This window comes from Homo sapiens, chromosome 16 (assembly GCF_000001405.40).
Source record: "Homo sapiens chromosome 16, GRCh38.p14 Primary Assembly".
In the NCBI taxonomy this organism is placed as follows: domain Eukaryota; kingdom Metazoa; phylum Chordata; class Mammalia; order Primates; family Hominidae; genus Homo; species Homo sapiens.
Genome location: NC_000016.10, coordinates 71,140,836 through 71,159,239, shown reverse-complemented (window position 1 = coordinate 71,159,239; position 18,404 = coordinate 71,140,836). Strand labels below are relative to the sequence as shown.

Here is an 18,404-nt window from a genome sequence, read left to right as displayed (position 1 = left end):
TTAGGGTAAAAGAAACATTCTTTCCAGCTTTCTGCATTCTAGGTAGAAGCAAGATTCTAAACCACCTTAAATAAATCAACCACTAAAGGCAAAGGAAAAGTTCTTTTGGAACTCAGTGTCTCCAGACATTGGTCATAAATTCTCTACAGGCCTTGTTTGTCGTCTCATGGCAAACCTCACATATTTTGATGGAGGAGAAGGAAACAGGTTGTTCAGCTGGCTTCCCATGAATTAGAAATAACCCATCTTGGCCTGGCATGGTGGCTTATGCCTGTAATTTCAGCACTTTGGGAGGCCAAGGCGAGTGGAGCACTTGAGCCCAGGAGTTTGAGACCAGCTTGGGCAACATGGTAAAACCCCGTCTCTACAAAAAATACAAAAAACAAAAAAATAAGCTGGGTGTAGTGGTCCATACCTGCAGTTCCAGCTACTTGGGAGGCCAAGGTAAGAGGATTGGTTGAGCCCAGGAGCTCGAGGTTGCAGTGAGCCATGATCATGCCACTGCACTCCAGCCTGGGTGACAGAGAAAAACCATGTCTCAAAAAAAAAAAAAAAAAAAACCATCTTTTTCAATTGAAAAAATGGTCTCCCACAACCACCATTCACAATACCCATTAAAAACTGTTACAATGGTATTTTTTTTTTTCTATGAAAAAAAGAATCTACCTAAGGTGGATATGCAAGTGCGGGAACATATCTTCCTGCGCTGTTTGGCTGAATTTGAAAAAAACCATGCCAAAATGGCAATTTCGTATATTTTAGATTCATGTAAATGTGAAGCAAAAATCACTTCACAGATTTAATAGTGTGAAGTTGCAAAAAAAAATATAAAATCTTTCTATCTATCTACCTATGAATATGAATTATGTTTTCCTAATATAGAAACAATTCTAAGGTAAAATGGGAGGCAACTCAGGGACTGGCCAGGATTTGTCAACAGTAGACATGCTGGCCCAGCATTGCCATTTTACTGTGAAGGGAGTAAAGCCTGAGGAGTTAAATGACTTACCCAAACTCCCCCAGTAAGTTAACATCAAAACCTGGATTCGTGCAAACATGGGCTAGCTCTGGGCTTGTTTGCCCTCAGGTACATGTCTCACCATTCCCCTGCGCTGCTCAGTGTCCCTGTGGGGCTTCCTGAGCCTTCCTAGCCTCCTGGCTCAGCCAGATTCCAGCTAGGTTTGACCAGTCAGGGACACTAGCAGGAGACTGGAGAGTAGGAAGAAGGAAGAAGCCTCTTCCCTCTTTGTCTTCAGCAGAGTCCCCAGCCACCACTGCACCTCCTCCATGGTTCTAGCCACTGTCAGGCTGGCCTGCCACGGTTCTAACTTCTGCCAGGTGACCCTGGTCCCCAGGATCTGATAACACTTCCTCCTCTCCTTTTGCTTCCAGTCCAGGGGTGGAAAAAGCTTACCGCTGTTATGAATCTCGGAGCTGTCTCACCTTCTTCAGTTGGAGTTCTCACCTCTCCCATCTTCTGTGTAACCAAGTCTCTCAAATTCCCTGTTTGCAAATATTTTTGTTTTCCTGTTTAGACTCTTCATGAAATAATGGCTTTATGTTTTCTCCACAAAATGCATGTTTTTCAACTATCATTGATTCTGTGAGTTGCCTCAAGTCCTACCAGTCAGTCCCTTTTCTGTTTAAATTAGCCACAGCTGGCTTCTGTTGTTTGCAACTGAGAACGCTGATGGCTTCAATGAGAAAGAATGTGGTTGAATTTGTGGTCACATCATATTGAGTTAGAATCTCTAAGGAGATCCCCTGACAAGGATCCGTTCTAAAAACCACACAGATGTTTCTGTTCCTAGACAGTGTTCTTCAGTTAATATGGTTGTTAATAGACATGGTAGAGCAGTGGATATAGTCTGAGAATTTGGAGTCAAAAGCCCATGGTCCTCCCACTTTTAGTGTCAATATACAGCTAGAAATAATGTCCCACAGGAAATTGTTTAAAAAAACAGATCATCCTTTTCTCGTTGAAATAATGATTTTATTAGTGGTTAAGTTTATAAAATGCTTAGGTTCTTATAAATCACAAAAACTAAAACTTTCTTTGCATGTCTGTTACCCTTATTCGAATGTGAGCTTCTCAAATGGAAGGATTGTATCTAACTCTTTTCATTTGTATGTCCCCAGCATCTGTCTAGAATAAATAAACACCCAATAAATGTTTATAAGATGCCTAACCAACAGTATATCACAAAGGCAAAACTACAACTATAAACCTCTACAATAAAATAAAATAAAACACATTCTCCAACTGCTATAAAATAAGCATAATAATTTTACACTAACAAAAGAGGCTGCAATGGGCTGTAAAATGTACAGAGAACATAAGCAATTATTGTTAAATTTGACCTAAAACTCTAGTAGGTATCAGAATAACTTTGATGATTAAAGTAGGATTAACATTGGAAGGTGAAATAGAGAGTATTAAGAAGCAATTTCAAAATCTAAAAACTCAAGTAAGGAATTAAACAAGAAAGATCATCTGAAGAATAAATACTAATATTATATTCAATATTTAATATTGTAGGATCCATATTTAGTCTTCTGCTAAAATATTGAATCATTTGGATGGTTTTAGTTCTTAAGAAGAGCTCATAATTGATGGAACAAAAACTCAAATCTTTCTCATGGCTCATGATTTTTCACAAAACCAAACTCCCTCCATAATTATTTGATATTAATCAAGATATGATATCAAAACCAAATATTTTGATAGACTGAACCATCCTTATACCCTTGAAGAACAACACCTTTTACTTCTTTGTAAGAGCATTTTCTGATACTTGATATTTTCTAGCCCGTTCAGCCTGTCTGCATTTTAGTAAAATGAAGTACAAAATCAAATTATAGACAATGTGTAACCACCAGAACTTGACACACTCTACCCAATTAACATCTGTTAGGCAGCTGTAAGTAGCAATGGCAATCCCAGGTGATTATAACTACTGAAGAAGTTTGTGTAACCTAAACCCAACGATTAGCACAAAGGCAAAGTAACCCTTACCACTCCGTGGAACTTGGATTCCTGGAGGTCGTACAGATGGGATACTAGTATCACTTTTTCTGTAAAAATTATTAATAGTTTAGGTACTGCAATATAATAATATCCAATTCATTTTAAAACTATTCTTTTGCTACCAAGAAATATTTGAAAATAAAATGAAAGTACAATGCAGGAAGAAAAATATTAGGAAGTAGGGAGGCAAAGGATAGAAGTAAATATGGTGGTGTTGTTCCTAAAGCCGGGAAACTGGGCCCAGTTCTCACTTCTTCCGATTCTCACTGAGGCCGTAAGGAAGGAAGAAACTTTGAGACTGGGAGACTCACCGTCACTTCCCACAAGGCACAGATTCTACTGAAGGTTTGCTCCTTCTCATTCCACCACGATGTCATAAACACTGATAGTTGATTACAAATATTTTTATTTACCTTTAAGAGTTTATTGTAATTCAATTAAGAACCTCTTCTGAGAGGCTCCTGAGTAAAGAACCATGTATGGGGTGATGAGTGACACAAAGATGACTCGTGATTGTGTTTTCCCTTCCCTCTCTTCTCAAGAGTTTCTAGCTATTGAGAGAGGCAGGCATGAAAACCAACTCAAGTACAAAGTAAACCACTGTATAAACTAAAAGGGAAGTTATAGTCTCTGAGAGGAAAGAGATACTATTCACAAAAGGGAGAATCAGGAAAGATTCTATTTAAGAGGTGACTTTGAGTCTGGGCTGTGAGAGGTGGCTTCAGAAGGAGTATGGCATGTGGGAAATGGCAAGTCACCTGATGTGATCCTAGCAGTTCCGATTGTCTATGTGGGGGCCACAATCTGGTGGGAAGAGAAAGCAGGTGCAGTGCTGGGGGAGGTTGTGGGTGAAGAGACTAAAGCCTGCCTCCCATCCCACCCCAGCACTGCCTTGGAACATGACAGGTGTATAGGATATTTGGACAGATGTATGTGTGTAATGAAAATGCAAAAACCTACTGGGAGCAGATTGTGTGGGACCTGAAATGCCTAGGAGTTTGAACTTGATTGCACAGGTGATGAGGACCGCTGAAGGTGTTTGAACAAGAGATTGATGTGTTATGACCTGTGTGTGTTTTTTACACTCTCTCTAGAGCAGTGTGAAGGAGTGAGGGGGGAATGATAAAAGCTTGAACTCATCGAAACACCCAAACACATCCACAGATTCATCACACAGCATCTAGAGGCTGCCAGTGAGGGAGATAAAAATAGCCATAACAAAAAGAATAATAAACACTTGTATAGCATTTCCTTTGTGCCAGGCATTATTCTAAGCACTTGACCTATATCAACCCCTTTAATCCTCACTATAACCGTATGAAGTAGGTGCTATCATTACCCTCCTTTTACAGATAAGGAAACTGAAGGTTAGGTGACTTGCCCAAGGTTGTGGCAGAGCTGGGTTTTGAACTCATTCGGTTGGCTCCAGAGGTCAGGCTAGTAACCACTGCCCCAGAGTGCCTCTGCAGCAATGCCTGGGGTTCACTGGTGGATCAGTGCTACAGGTATGGGGACAGGAAAAAGGAAAGGAAGCAGGAAAATCAGGAAGTGAAAGGAGAGGAGATCCACTTATTCATGGGATCTAAAAATCAAAACAATTGAACTCACGGACATAGAGAGTAGAATGGTTACTGGAGGTGGGAAGGGTAGTGGGGGTTGGGTGGGGAGTTGGGGAAGGTTAATGGGTATTAAAAAATAGTTAGAAAAAATGAATAAGACTATTTGATAGCACAACAAGGTTACTATAGTCAATAACTTAATTGTACATTTTAAAATAGCTAAAAGAGTGTAATTGGATTGTTTGTAACACAAAGGACAAATGCTTGAGGGGATGGATATGCATTCTCCATGATGGGATTACTTCACAGTGCATGCCTGTATCAAAACATCTCACGTACCCCATAAATATATATACCTACTGTGTACCCACAAAAAGTAAATTTTTTTTTAAAACTTAAAAAAAGAAAAGAGAGGAGATCAAGTAGAAAGTACCAGAGAAAATAACCAATTGCTCACAGTAGGGAGCACCTGAGGTCCTGTAGTAATACTCTCAGATGCCACCCAGTGCTACCCCTGACATAAACTCTGTATCCTTATAGCAGAAAGCTTAGATTTTCTGAAACTGAGTTCATCATCTAAGGGAAGATTTAAGGAATGACAGCTCTAAGAACTGTTGTGATCGAAGTAAATAATCAGAAACAGCTCGGTCTGCCAGATGCATTACACAACACATTACTTTGAAAAACTAGCAATTTAAAGAAGTGAAATGGACCATGAAAATAATTAAATGGGCTGGGTTTCCTATTTAGGAAGAACTCTCTAAGTTACTTAAGGTATTTCACCATCAGATCCAGCTTCCCTCTTACTATTCTCTTCCAAAACAATTAAACTATTTCCTGTTTCCAAATCAACCCTCACTCCCCACAATGTCTGCATCCCAAATTATATTTTCAAGACACAGAATTTGTCCTCAGTTTGCCTTTTCAAATGCACTCTCCACCCTTCTTCAGTTTGCTCTAGCCCCGGAGGCTGGCTTCTACAGCCTGGGTCAACAGCCCTCGACTCGCATTTCTGGCTCTGGTTGTGTTCACCCAGTGAGGGTCTGGTAGACAATGAGATGGGAGGGGATGTGAGGTCAGGATATTTTTTCCCCATTGTCTTCCCTGGGAGACCACCTGGGCTGCTGTCTCCCTTGGCTACGTCTCCTTGCTCCCCATAAGGCAGCCTTCTCTTAGGCCTCTCCTTGCGGTTTTAAAAACCATGCCTTCTCTCCATGGCTCTTTTGTGGCAGCGCTACTGTTACCACCTGGGCTATTGCATCATCTCCTGTAGTTCCTCTACACCCCTCCCACCCTTTTAATATAGACCCTCTGTTCATCTGTCCTGAATTATCCTAAGGCGAGTGAGGGTGCTATCCCTTTCCTTTTGGGGCTCAGATATATTTTTCCACTATGATGCCCTCTCTCCTGTGAACTCTCACAAAACTCGATTTTTATCCCTTTGAAGGCACTGTTCTTTTGAAAATGACAATATTTGCATACATATTTTAAGTCTGTTCCTTACAGCAATCTCAGTGTTTGAGGACAAAGGCTGGATTTTATTCATTTGCAGTCACCCTAACTTGAGTGCCTGAGCCCAGCAGGGATACTCAATGAATGTTAAAAGCAGGGCTGAATGGCAAGGACACAAACAAGAATATTGTTGCATTGTTTAAGTTGCCCTTACGCTTGCTAATCTAATGCTGTCATTTTAACATTAAAACTAAAGTTCTTTCACATTAGGTAGCAAAAGTCTACTTCACTTCTAGATCATGAAATTGCAGTGCTGGGTCTGAGCTGTCTGCAGAACTAGAACTCCTGTCTCCTTTCCTCCCCGTCTCACACTAGTCAGAAATATGCTCTGATGATGTGCCTCTCTGTGTGTTGCAGGCCTTTCTCTATAGAACCAGCTATTGGAACTCTTAATGTGGGAGAGTCCATGCAACTGGAAGTGGAGTTTGAGCCACAGAGTGTGGGCGATCACAGTGGAAGACTTATCGTGTGTTATGACACAGGTATGCAGTATTCTTTGTTAAAAGTTCTACATATTAAGAAAGGTCAGATGAGAATGTTCTCACTCATAAGTGGGAACCAAGCTACGAGGATGCAAAGGCATAAGAATGATACAATGGATTTTGTGGACTTGGGGGAGAGGGCAGGAGGAGGGTGAGGGATAAAAGACTACACACTGAGTACAGTGTACACTGCTTAGGAGATGGGTGCACCAAAATCTCAGAAATCACTACGAAAGAACTTATTCATGTAACTAAACACCACCTGTTCCTCCAAAAAACCACTGAAATTAAAAATAAATAAATAATAATAAAATCAATTTTAAAAAATTTAAAAAGGTCAGATGGGAAATATGATAAAGCTGAATAGGAAATGGTTATTTTGGCTGCATTCGAGTAAGCTAAGATCCACAAGATAAAAAAAAAAAAATGAATGCCTCCAGTAGAAATGATGTGGAGTCAGAAATCCCCCTAACTGGTGTCCCCAGTGCTTGAAAGCCTGAGGAATACAGGACTCAGGAAGGAGCCCATCCCCAGGAGCCACACTGGTGGATTGAGGTTGTCTGTATATTAAAATTTGCAGGTAATTTAATGCCCCATGGGTTTTCCATTTGACTTATTGTGATATTTGTCTAACATTTTAAAAATGTAAACCCCAATTCAGAATGTTCTTATATGTGCCCACTAGTCTATTAAGATCCAGTTACTTTAATCCTTAGAACATGCAAATATCCTACATAACATCTTACAGGAATATAGGACTGTATCTGTTGCCACTAGTATTTTCTTGAAGGCCACACCCTCCATAATCACGAAAATTACACATTGTTGCAAATATTTAATTTATGGTCATGTAGATGGCATGTACATTATGCAGTCTCCAAAGTTGGCTTCCAAATTAATATTTTACATTGCCATTTATTATTTTATGCTTTTTCTCATTTCCTTCTCACTTCTGCTTCACCCATTCATGTTGATTGACCCAGATTATCTGCAGAAGGGCGTTGTAGGGAGAAAACAGAGGCGCACAGCCGGGGAAAGAGTAAGCTAAGATCCACAAGATGAAGAACCCACAGAAATGATGTGGAGTCAGATGGAAATCCAACCTAACTGGTGTCATTGATGCTTGAAAACTTGAGGAATGCAGGGCTCAGGAAAGAACCCATCCCTGGAAGTCACACTGGTAGATTGGGGTGATCTGTGTGTAGATAGAAACTTGAAGGTACACCCAGAGAAGGAGCAGCACAAGGCATCTAGAGTGTAGTTCAGAGTTGCTGGCTTTGTGGACGTGTATTTGAGGAGGACGACTCAAGCCCTTGTCTTAGGTCCCATGGTTAAGTGGCCCTAGCTCCACATTGCTCAGCAGAACAATGCCACAGACCAGCCAGTGATGTGGTCTATCTGTTTTGTCTATTAGTTTTAGCCACACTCGTTGGCTGCTAGCAAGAGAAACTAGCTTAAGAAAAGGGGGAATGTTTGACCCATATAACCAAAGGGTAGAAGGCTGAAAGCACAGCTCATAACACATTGGGGCATCAGTTTTCCAAGATAGTTGTGTCATTTTACATTCCCACCAGCAAGGCATGAGAGTTCTAGTTGCTTCACATCCTCACCAACATGTAGTGCTGTTTTGTCAATTTTAGACATACTAGTGGTGTAAAGCGATGTCTATCAGTGGTTTTAATTTTCATGTCCCTAATGATTAATGATGTTGCCTGCCTTCTCAGGTGCTTACTGGCCATTCATTTATCTTTTTAAGTGTCTGTTCAAGACCTTTCTTTGCTTATTCTTTTGTTATTAATTTGTAAGTACCTTTTATTACTCAGTATTCTAAATACTAGTCATTTGTCAGATGTATGTATTATTAATATTTTCTCCAAGTCTGTAGCTTGCCTTTTCATTTCCTTGATAATATTTCTTAATAAGCAGCGAGTTTGAATTTTGACAAAATCCATGTTACCAGTTTTCTTTTCTTACAAGATTAACACTTTTTGCCTCCATGCTAGGAAATCTTTGCCTTCTGCAAGATCATGAATATAATCTCCCATGTTTACTTCTGGAAGGGTTATAGTTTTAGCTCCTGTCTTTAGGTTAATGCCTCATCTTTTATTTAATTTTTGTGTATGTGTGATGTAGAGGCCGTGTGTCATTGTTTCCCCATATGCATTATTTGCTGTTTTCCGTCTTGTTCTGGAATATGGAATACTCTATTATTCCAATACTTAATCTATTATTGCACTGTTATTCATTCATTTTTACCTCTATATTTTCCATTTCTTTTCCTCTGTAGACTGATCTGGATACTTTCTTTTTATTCATTATTCCATTCAATAATCCCCTCTTCAGTGAAGTCTCACCTGCTGAGTTTTAACTTTTTAATTATTATTATTGTTTTTATTTCTGGAAGTTTTATTTAGTTCTTATCAAATCTGACTGCTCTCCCCTCTTTTATTTTTCAAGTTTCCCTTTGATTTCTTAAATATATTAAATGTGGTTTTTTTATATTTTGTATCTGATAATTCAAATTAAGTCTACTTATTTAGTTTGCTGTTTATTGTTTCTGCTGGTTTTCAACCAGGGTATCTTATGTCTTTTTGTGTTTTGTGATTTTTGGATTTGAAATTCCAACTCTGGGCAGGCCCTGAACTTTATCTGCTGTCCTCGGCACATAATGCAATCTTTAAAGCAGAAATCCGAAGGTTCACAAAAGCCATTAGGGCAAAGGCTAGCCTTGGCACTAGACTATTTCTTGGTATGCTTGTCTTCACATTGATGTCCTTATTGTCCTATCAGGTTAGTGATCAATTTAAAAGTATTTGTAAAAATATTTTCTCAGCCGACTGCGGTGGCTCACACCTGTAATTCCAACATTTTAAGAGGCTACAGCAGGAGCATTGCTTGAGCTCAGGAGTTTGAGACCAGCCTGGGCAACATGGTGAAACCATGTCTGTACTAAAATACAAAAAAATTAGGCAGGCATGGCGGCATGTGCCTGTGGTCCCAGCCACTCAGGAGGCTGAGGCAGGAGAATTGCTTGAACCCGGGAGGCGGAGGTTATAGTGAGCAGAGATTGCACTACTGCACTCCAGCCTGGGCAACAGAGCAAGACTCCATCTCCAAAAATAAAAAATAAAAAATAAAAAATAAAATAACCATTCTTGTACACATCGTGTGTGTGTGCGTGTATGTGTGTGTGTGCAGATATACATATGTTTTTATTTCTCTTGGGTAAATATTTAAAAGTAGAATTGCTGAGTGATATAGTCATCATATGCTTAACTTTGTAAGAAACTTCCAAATGGTTTTCTAAAGTGGTTGAACCATTTTATTTATATTCCCACCAGCAATGAAGGTATGAAATTCCACATTCTCATCAACTCTTGGTCATGTCAGTCTTTTAATTTTAGCCATTCTACTCGGTATAAAGTGGTACCTTATTTTGGTTTTAATTTGCATTTTTCTAATAATGAATGATGTTGAGTGTCTTTTCATGTGCTTTTGCCCATTTTGATGTCTTTTTTTCTGAAGTACATGTTTAAGTCTTTTGCCCATTCTTTATGGGGTAGTTTATCATTTTGTTGTTGACTTGTAGTTTTAAAAAATATATTCTTGGCCGGGCATGGTGGCCTGTAATCCCAGCACTTTGGGAGGCCAAGGTGAATGGATCACGAGGTCAGGAGTTCAAGACCAGCCTGGCCAACATAGTGAAATCCCATCTCTACTAAAACTACAAAAATTAGCCGGGTGTGGTGGCATGCACCTGTAGTCCCAGCTAATCAGGAAGCTGAGGCGGGAGAATAGCTTGAACCCGGGAGGCAGAGGTTGCAGTGAGCTGAGACCAAGCCATTGCACTCCAGCCTGGGTGACAGAGTGAGACTCCATCTTAAAAAAGAAAAAGAAATATATATATATATATTCTTTATATAAGTCTTCCAGAAATAATTATTGTGAATATTTTCTCACAGTGAGAAATTAATTTTCTTAATGTCTTTTTATTAGCAGAACAATTTAATTTTGATGAAGTACAGTTTATCTATTTTAATTTTATAGCTAGTGTGGTATTTTTTCCCAAGCTTATTTTCTAAATTTATGTGGCTTTATTAAACTACAGTTAAGTTTTGTATATTGAGCTTTTATCTGCAGACTTTGCTAAATTTACTTCTGACTTATCTGTAGATGATTTTGGATTTTGTATATACACAAACAGGTCATCTGCAGATAATAATAGTTTTTATTTTGTTCAATCCTTATGCTCTTCATTTCTTATTCTTTCTTCCACAGGCTAGACATTAGTATGCTGTGCATTGGAAGTAATGACAGCAAATATCTTTCTCTTGTTCTCAGTCTCAGAAGAGAAGTGCTCAGTATTTCATCATTTAGTATGACGTTTGCTATAGGTTTTTATTGGAGACTCTATCAGGTTAAAAAAATTTCCTTCTATCTCTAGGTTTCTAAGACTTTTAATCTTGAATAGATGTTTAATTTTGTCAAATACTCTGCATTTGTTGACATGATTGTACATTATTTCACCTTTATTCTTCTAATGCGATGGTTGATTTTGAAATGCTAGATTCCTGCTGTGTTCTGGGATAAACTCAAGTTTGTATATTATCATTTTAATACATCATTGGATTATATTTGCTAATATTTTGTTCAAGAATTTGGCATCCAAATTAATGAGAAAGATTGGCCTGTAATTTTCTGTTCATGTAATGCCCTTGTCAGAACAAAACAAATTGGTCTCATAAAACAAGTTGGGAATTGTTCTCTCTTCTTAATTCTCTAGAGAAATTGTTTTAGAGAGTCATGTTATTTCTTCCTTAAATAATTGAAAATTTTATTCTTTAAGCCATTTGTTTAACCTCACTTTTTAAAAGGGGGGCAGCTTTTTAATGATTGATTCTGTTAAACTTTTTCAATAAACTTTTCCATTTAATCTAAAATCTTAAAATTTTGGCATAAAGTTGTTCAGAACCCTTCTTAATCATTGTTTGCTATAGGATCCTTGGTGATATCTCCTCTTTTCTTATTGGTAATTTGTATCCTCCTCTTTTTTTTTTCTTGAACTATATTGTTAGGGGTTTATCAGTTTTTTTTAGTTTATTCAAAGAACCAACTCTTAGTTGATTATTTTTATTGTTCACTTCTCAATTTCATTGATTTCACCTCTTCATTTTTTCAGGCCTTCTACTTTCTTTAGGTTTGATTTGTTATGATTTTTCTAGATCTTAACAGGGATGCTCAGAATATTGATGTTCAGCCTTTCTTCTTTTATAATACATGCATTTAAGACAATACATTTTCCTCTAAAATTGACTCAATCTTCAGCCCATATGTTTTTACATATTTTGTTTTTAACACTTGATTGAAAATATTTTAGAATTTACATTTTTATTTCTTTTTTGACACATGGGCTATTTAGCAATGCGTTGATTAATATTCAAACATTAGGGAATTTTCTAGGTCTCTTTTTGTTATTGATTTCTTGTTTAATCCTACCAGTGACAGAAAGCAAGTTCTATACGATTTCAGGCCTTGAAATTAGTTGAGACTTACATTATGACCCAAAATATGTTCCATTTTGGTAAATGTTCCCTGTACGCTTCAAAAGGGTACACCTTCCATAAATGTCAATTAGGTCAAATTTGTTAATAATGATGCCATTCAATCTATATCTTTACTAACGTTTTGTCTCCTTGTTTTATCAGTTATTGGAAGATGTCATTAAAATCCACAACTACAACTTAGGTGTTCCTCTTTTTTGGTGCTAATAATTTTCATTTTATATATTTCGAGGCCATGATACTTGACGTATACACATGTAGGATTATTATAACTTCCTGTTGAATTAACCATTTTATTATAAAATGTCTCAATCTTTAGTAAGATTTATGACACTAAAGTCTACTCGATCTGATATTTATACAACATAGAAGCTTTCTTTTGATTAGTGTGGACATAGTACAATCTGTTTATCCTTTCACTTTCAACCTTCCTCACATTTAAAGTATGACATTTGGAAGCATCACCAATGAGGCTGATTATTAAATCCGGTCTGAAAATCTTTGTCTTTTAATTGTACTATTCAGTCATTTTATGTTAAATGCAATTATAGATATATTTGAACCTCCTGTTTGACTATTAAGTAATTGTTCCCATTATGGTAAAATTATTAGCTGAATTTCAGCCAAAACCATTGTGTTACTGGTACTGATAGTGGATGAAACTGAAGAAACATATGCCTGCTAATAAATATGGTCAGTGATACATTTTTTTTCTCTCTGGATCTCCGTATTTTTGTTGATTTTGCATACATCTTATGTCTTACATCCTTGTTGATTTTGCTTATGTTAGTTGCTGAAACGAAGTGTCAGAATAAATGTGGCCTTAGAATTAGATTTGGGTCACTGTATCACAAGATTTTAAATCAGGAGTTTGAAAAAGAATGAAGCATAGTCAACCCTTTTACTCTTGTTAAAATAATTGTTGGTAAAAATAGTAAATACATTATCTTTAAAATAATTGTTTATTTCATCTTTATCTCATTCTTTTAAACATTTGGGGGTATTTTTAATACATTTGACACATGAGCAATCTAGCATATGGGTATAATTTATAAATAAACAACTCTACATATGTTGGGGTATAATTTCAAAAAACGCTATTTGTTGAGTTTTGAGTTCAGCTGATTTAGAGTGCTTATAGCTCGATAGAATCAAAACTTGAGTGACGACTTCACTGATAACCTCATCTAACCCTTAGATTTTACAGATAGAGAAACTAAAGCCCTAAGAAATTAAGTGGCTCACCCAAGGTCACAGAACTAATCAGAAGCCCAAATAGAAGCCCAGTTAGAAGCCAGACTCAGCCTCTTACCTCCTGGGCAGTGTTCTTTCACTATAGCAGATCGTCTCATCTCCCATATAACTCTTTGTGCATTTGTGCTCTCTTGATGTGCTGCCTTTGAAATGCGGCTGCATTTTGCCAGCCTCCCTGGATATCAATTTTACTTTTATGTAAGCATTTGGAATGACACCCATACTTACATATATACTGCTGTGCTAAAGGAAAGATAGGTTGAACCACAATAAATATTTGTGTATTAAAATTTAATCATTCAGCCAGGGGTGGTGACTCACGCCTGTAATCGGGAGGCCAAGGCAGGCAGATCACAAGGTCAGAAGATCGAGACCATCCTGGCCAATATGGTGAAACCCCATCTCTACTAAAAATACAAAAATTAGCTGGGTGTGATGGCGTGTGCCTGTAATCCCAGCTACTTGGGAGGCTGAGGCAAGAGAATTTCTTGAACCAGGGAGTCGGAGGTTACAGTGAGGCAAGATCGTGCCACTACACTCCAGCCTGGCGACAGAGCTAGACTCCATCTCAAAAAAAAAAAAAAAATTAATCATTCATAGAAAAGTTGGTTTCTACCTCCTGAGGTTCTGATGTTACCTTTGGTGAATGAATAAAGTCATATTCTGAAGATTGCAGAGGTAAACTGTCTTATAGCATTTTTCCTTACATGAAATGAACTGCTGCTAAGAATATGCTTTCAATCTTTATTGTGGGTTGTTAATGACCAGAATCCATAACCTTTCATTAGTGAAAAATGCTAATAACTGCCTAAACACAATTAATCATGAAGCTTTTCCAAGCAGCCATGATCATTGGCTTTTCATTTCATTAAATAAGCATCCGATTGAACTTTCTGCAGCTGTTTGAAATATGAATTTATTTGGGGAAGGAAATTTAACATGGGCTGTTGATGAGTCTTTTCTTTATAATTCCTAAAACAATGTTCCAGAAGGAGCAGCATTGACACTCCTCAGCAGGAAGTACTCAATCACGTTCCTAACAGTGGCATTTGTTCCTTCCGTTTCTGGCCCTCCGCTGAATATATTCTTGATTAAATGAAGTTAGGAGATTTCTTTGCTTTTTCTGACAACCAGAGTTTGAACCAGTGCTCTAGCAATTAAGGAGGTTGAGCATAAAAAAGTTTCAGCAATATCTAATATTTTACCCATTAATGTTTTTCTGAACCAGAATTCTCCCCTCCCTTCTCTTTTCCTCTTTCTTCCTGTGGGTGCCTGCGTATAGTAAAATCAAGTTTGTTTAAGCAGTTGATTTTACCTGAGAAATGATTTAATTATCTTTTTTATTATAGTCTAAAATTGAGAAAGAACTGATGCAAGGTGATACCTTTTATAAACTCATCCCTCCAGAAGAGATTAAAAATACAATTACTCAAGGCTACATTGATAACAACAAAACCAAACCAAAACCAAATCCAAAACCAAACAAATAACTGGAAGTATCATTTGCCTCTGAAGAGACAAACAAATGGTTAATTGCTGAAGTTTTGCACTTTTCAACTGAGTCTTGAGAAATTAATATAATCACAGGATTCAAGGAGATATTACTATTCAGAACAGCATTTCAAAAAAGACATTTGAACAAAATAAAAAAAAGAAAAAGAAAAAAGATATTTGTATTGAAACTTTGGTTACTAGAATGAGTACCAGAAATAGTAGTGTAGGGGGTTTCTTCTTCAATGCCTGATGAGGTTACTCTTCTCACCTTAGAAGTGACATTAACCATTGGCATACTCAGGAAATAGAGTTGATGCACGTATTCAGCGTTTTTTAAAGTATTATGTCTCTTACTGAAGAGGAGATACTTTAGGAGTCAGCAGTTGGCAAGTAACCTTTTTCCCCAAAGGTGTGATGGTGTGTTATTATTAAATATACACACAGTCATAATATTAGTGCTTCACACGGCAGCTTTATAGTAATTTACATATTTTACTCTAGTAAGCTTTCTAAAACCATAAAGAATTTTTCTTTTTTTCCTCATAAAGGCCAATAGAGGCATACCAAAATATAATATAGTCAGTAATTGACTGTAATGTTGCTGCTTTGCAGTTGAAAATGCTAAATAATATCTATCTGAATCTATTAATATCTATGCAGACTTACCCGCATCAACTTTGTTTCAATGGTGGGATTATTATTAATTATAAATGTGTGCTGTTATAACTAGAAAATCTAGCCAAACAGAGGTATTGTAAAAGAAGCAAATGTTTTAACATGGCTTTAGAAGCAATGGAAACATTACTTGACCTTGTTTTCTTTTCTTTGTTTCTTATTCCATAGCTTAGAATAGGAAGTAGCAGAAGTTAAGACACTCTGATTGTCAGGGCTTTAAATGTTTAGGGAAGTGAGATAAGGTTTCTATAAGTTCATAGCAAGTGAAGACTTGCAAATTAGCAGGTGTTAGTATTTAAAGGGACGTTTCTTTAACTCCCTTCATTTTAGTGATAAGTAAACTGAAGCCCAGAGACGTTAAATGACTTTACAGCTCAGTAAAGCTGGAATTTGAACCCAGGTCTTTGGGACCCCCTGAGGCCAGTACACTTTCTGCATTTCACACTGCCTTCTGTGCAGACTGAGAATACCGGTTTTGGCATTGCCACTGACATGCCAGGTGAGCCATCAAGTTGCTTAAGTTTCCTGAACAAAGAGCACTTCCAAAGAAGTTCGGTTCAGTAATGCACTACCGTAGTGAATTTGACCCTGTTGTCACCAAGTGATGAAAAACTTTCCATCAACTTGTTAGTTCCCTGGAAAATCTATGGCTCCACCCATAAATTTAACTTAGTGTCCTCTGTTGTCTGAGAGTACTGAAACCATAGTATGAAGCGTATTATATATATAGTTACCTTCACATTCATTTTTGTAAAATTAGTTTTGTTCATATTTGTTTTTACTTGATTGATGGTAGCAAACCTGGCAAGAGATAGTGAGACCTTCCACAAAATATGTCTGTATTGGGATGTAGTAAAAGATTGTTCCTAAGCCTATCTACAATGATTGCAGCATGCAACTCCGGAAACCAAAAAGGCACCAGTGCGGGAACAGGTCCTCCAAGGACACAAAGAATGCTAATGTTGAGGAACAGCTTCCCCATCCATTCCTGGAGACATGACACCACTTCCAACCACTTCAAAGTAGCTAAGGGTTGGGGAACCTTTTTCAGGTTGTCTCTATAAAAGTAGGTATTATAAAAACCAAATACTTCAACAGCTTTGGGGATAAGAGAAGAGTTATTGCTTCCTTCACTTTGTGGAGCTGATGAGTTTTGGAAGATAGTGGTGAAAAAAATCAATACTGGATGGTTCTTGAAAAAAAATAGCTTTTGCTATATTTCTGGGAAGGAAGACTTTTGCAGTGAGCAGCTCAAATTAATGACATTAGTCTCTCTGACCCCTAGGTTGCGTGAAATAAGCCCTTGGATCTCTTATTCCCTTTGATTATTTTTTTAAACAATGACATATTTCAGATAACCACAAAAACACAGAGAATAATATAATCAACACCTGTTATATGTAACACATCTCAACCTTTTGCCGTACACATTTCTTTCTAGAGGTTTTATTTTTTTTGGATAATCAAACCGATTACAGACCTGAAGCCACTTTGTTACCCTTTTCTGATCTAATTCCCATATCTTGCTCCTCAGAGGAGCTTTACTGGGTGCATTTTAATGCTATTCCTACATATTTACTTATCCATAAACAATATATAGTATTGTCTTGAGCAGTTTTAAAGTTCACATAAATGGTATCATACTGTACATAAAATTCTCCAACTTGCTTTTTTCATTCAATGTTGTTTTAAATATTTAAACACGTAGATACACATTACTCTGATTCATTTTAATGAATGTGCCACATTCCAGTATGTGAAAATTGAATATTTACTTCTTTGCTTCTAAAAACAGTGTTGCATTGAGCAGCTTCGTACAGTGTCTTCTTGGGCAGCTGTGTGAGATTTTCCTTTAGGATAAATACCTACAAGTGCAATTGCTGGGGTGTAGGGCAAAATTATCCTGAGCTTTACTGGATACTAAATTGGCTTGTCAAGTTGTGGCAATTTATACTTTCATCAGAAGTATACAAAAATTCTTTTTCCATATTCTTGCCAATATATTGCTGAAACGATATTATAAAACTGTTTGATTTTTGTTTGTTAATTTGATGGTCATGAAATGATATTTTATATTTCTTTTATTACTAGTGCTATCTTGCAGCTGTACATGTTTCTTAGAGGTCCTGTATCCCTTTTACAGTCAAGTTTTTGGATGGGTCATGTATTTATTTCTTTTGAATGAGTTTCTTTTTCATTTTTAGGTAATCAAATTTCTTAGTTTTTTAGAGGGATCTGGATTTTGAGTCATAGGAAACTTTTCCCTCTCTAAAGTTATGAAGAAATTCTCATTTATATTGTTTTATATATATGGCTTCATATTGAACATTTAAATATTTGACTCACTTGACATTTATTCTGATATAAGATATGAGATATGTTTTTTCATATGGCTATGAAGTTGTCCTAACAATACTTTTTTTTTTTTTACAAATATGTCTTTATACCAATGATTTGAGATACTGCCTTTATAATATACTAAATTCCAGTGTGCATTTGGGTCTGTTTTGACTTCATTCTATTCCACTGATCTGTCTCTTCATGCACTGCTACCATGCTATTAATATTTTAATTACCGAGACTTTACTATATTTTAATTCTATCAATTTCTATTTTATAGATGTTTTTAAAATGCGTTTTGAGTTTTGTCAAATTCTTTTTCAGCATCAGTGAGGATCATACCATTTTTTTTCCTTAGATCTATTGCTACATAAACAGATTTCTAGTAGTGGGACATTATTGCATTTCTGGAATAAATTCCACTTGGTTATGAAGTATCATTCCTTTAATGTGCTGATATATAATGATTAGCTATTTTTATTCAGAAATTTTACATTGT

General features: G+C 36.9%; 1 protein-coding gene across 4 annotated transcripts in view; it reads left to right on the top strand.

The window, feature by feature from the left end:
• Window positions 1-18,404, top strand: part of HYDIN (HYDIN axonemal central pair apparatus protein) — a 428,639-nt gene that overhangs the window by 71,483 nt on the left and 338,752 nt on the right. For all 4 annotated transcript variants that reach the window (NM_001270974.2, NM_017558.5, NM_001198543.1 and 1 more), the window contains exon 7: window positions 6,457-6,581. In NM_001270974.2, the coding sequence (NP_001257903.1) occupies window positions 6,457-6,581 (125 nt within the window). The remainder of the gene's footprint in view (window positions 1-6,456; window positions 6,582-18,404) is intronic.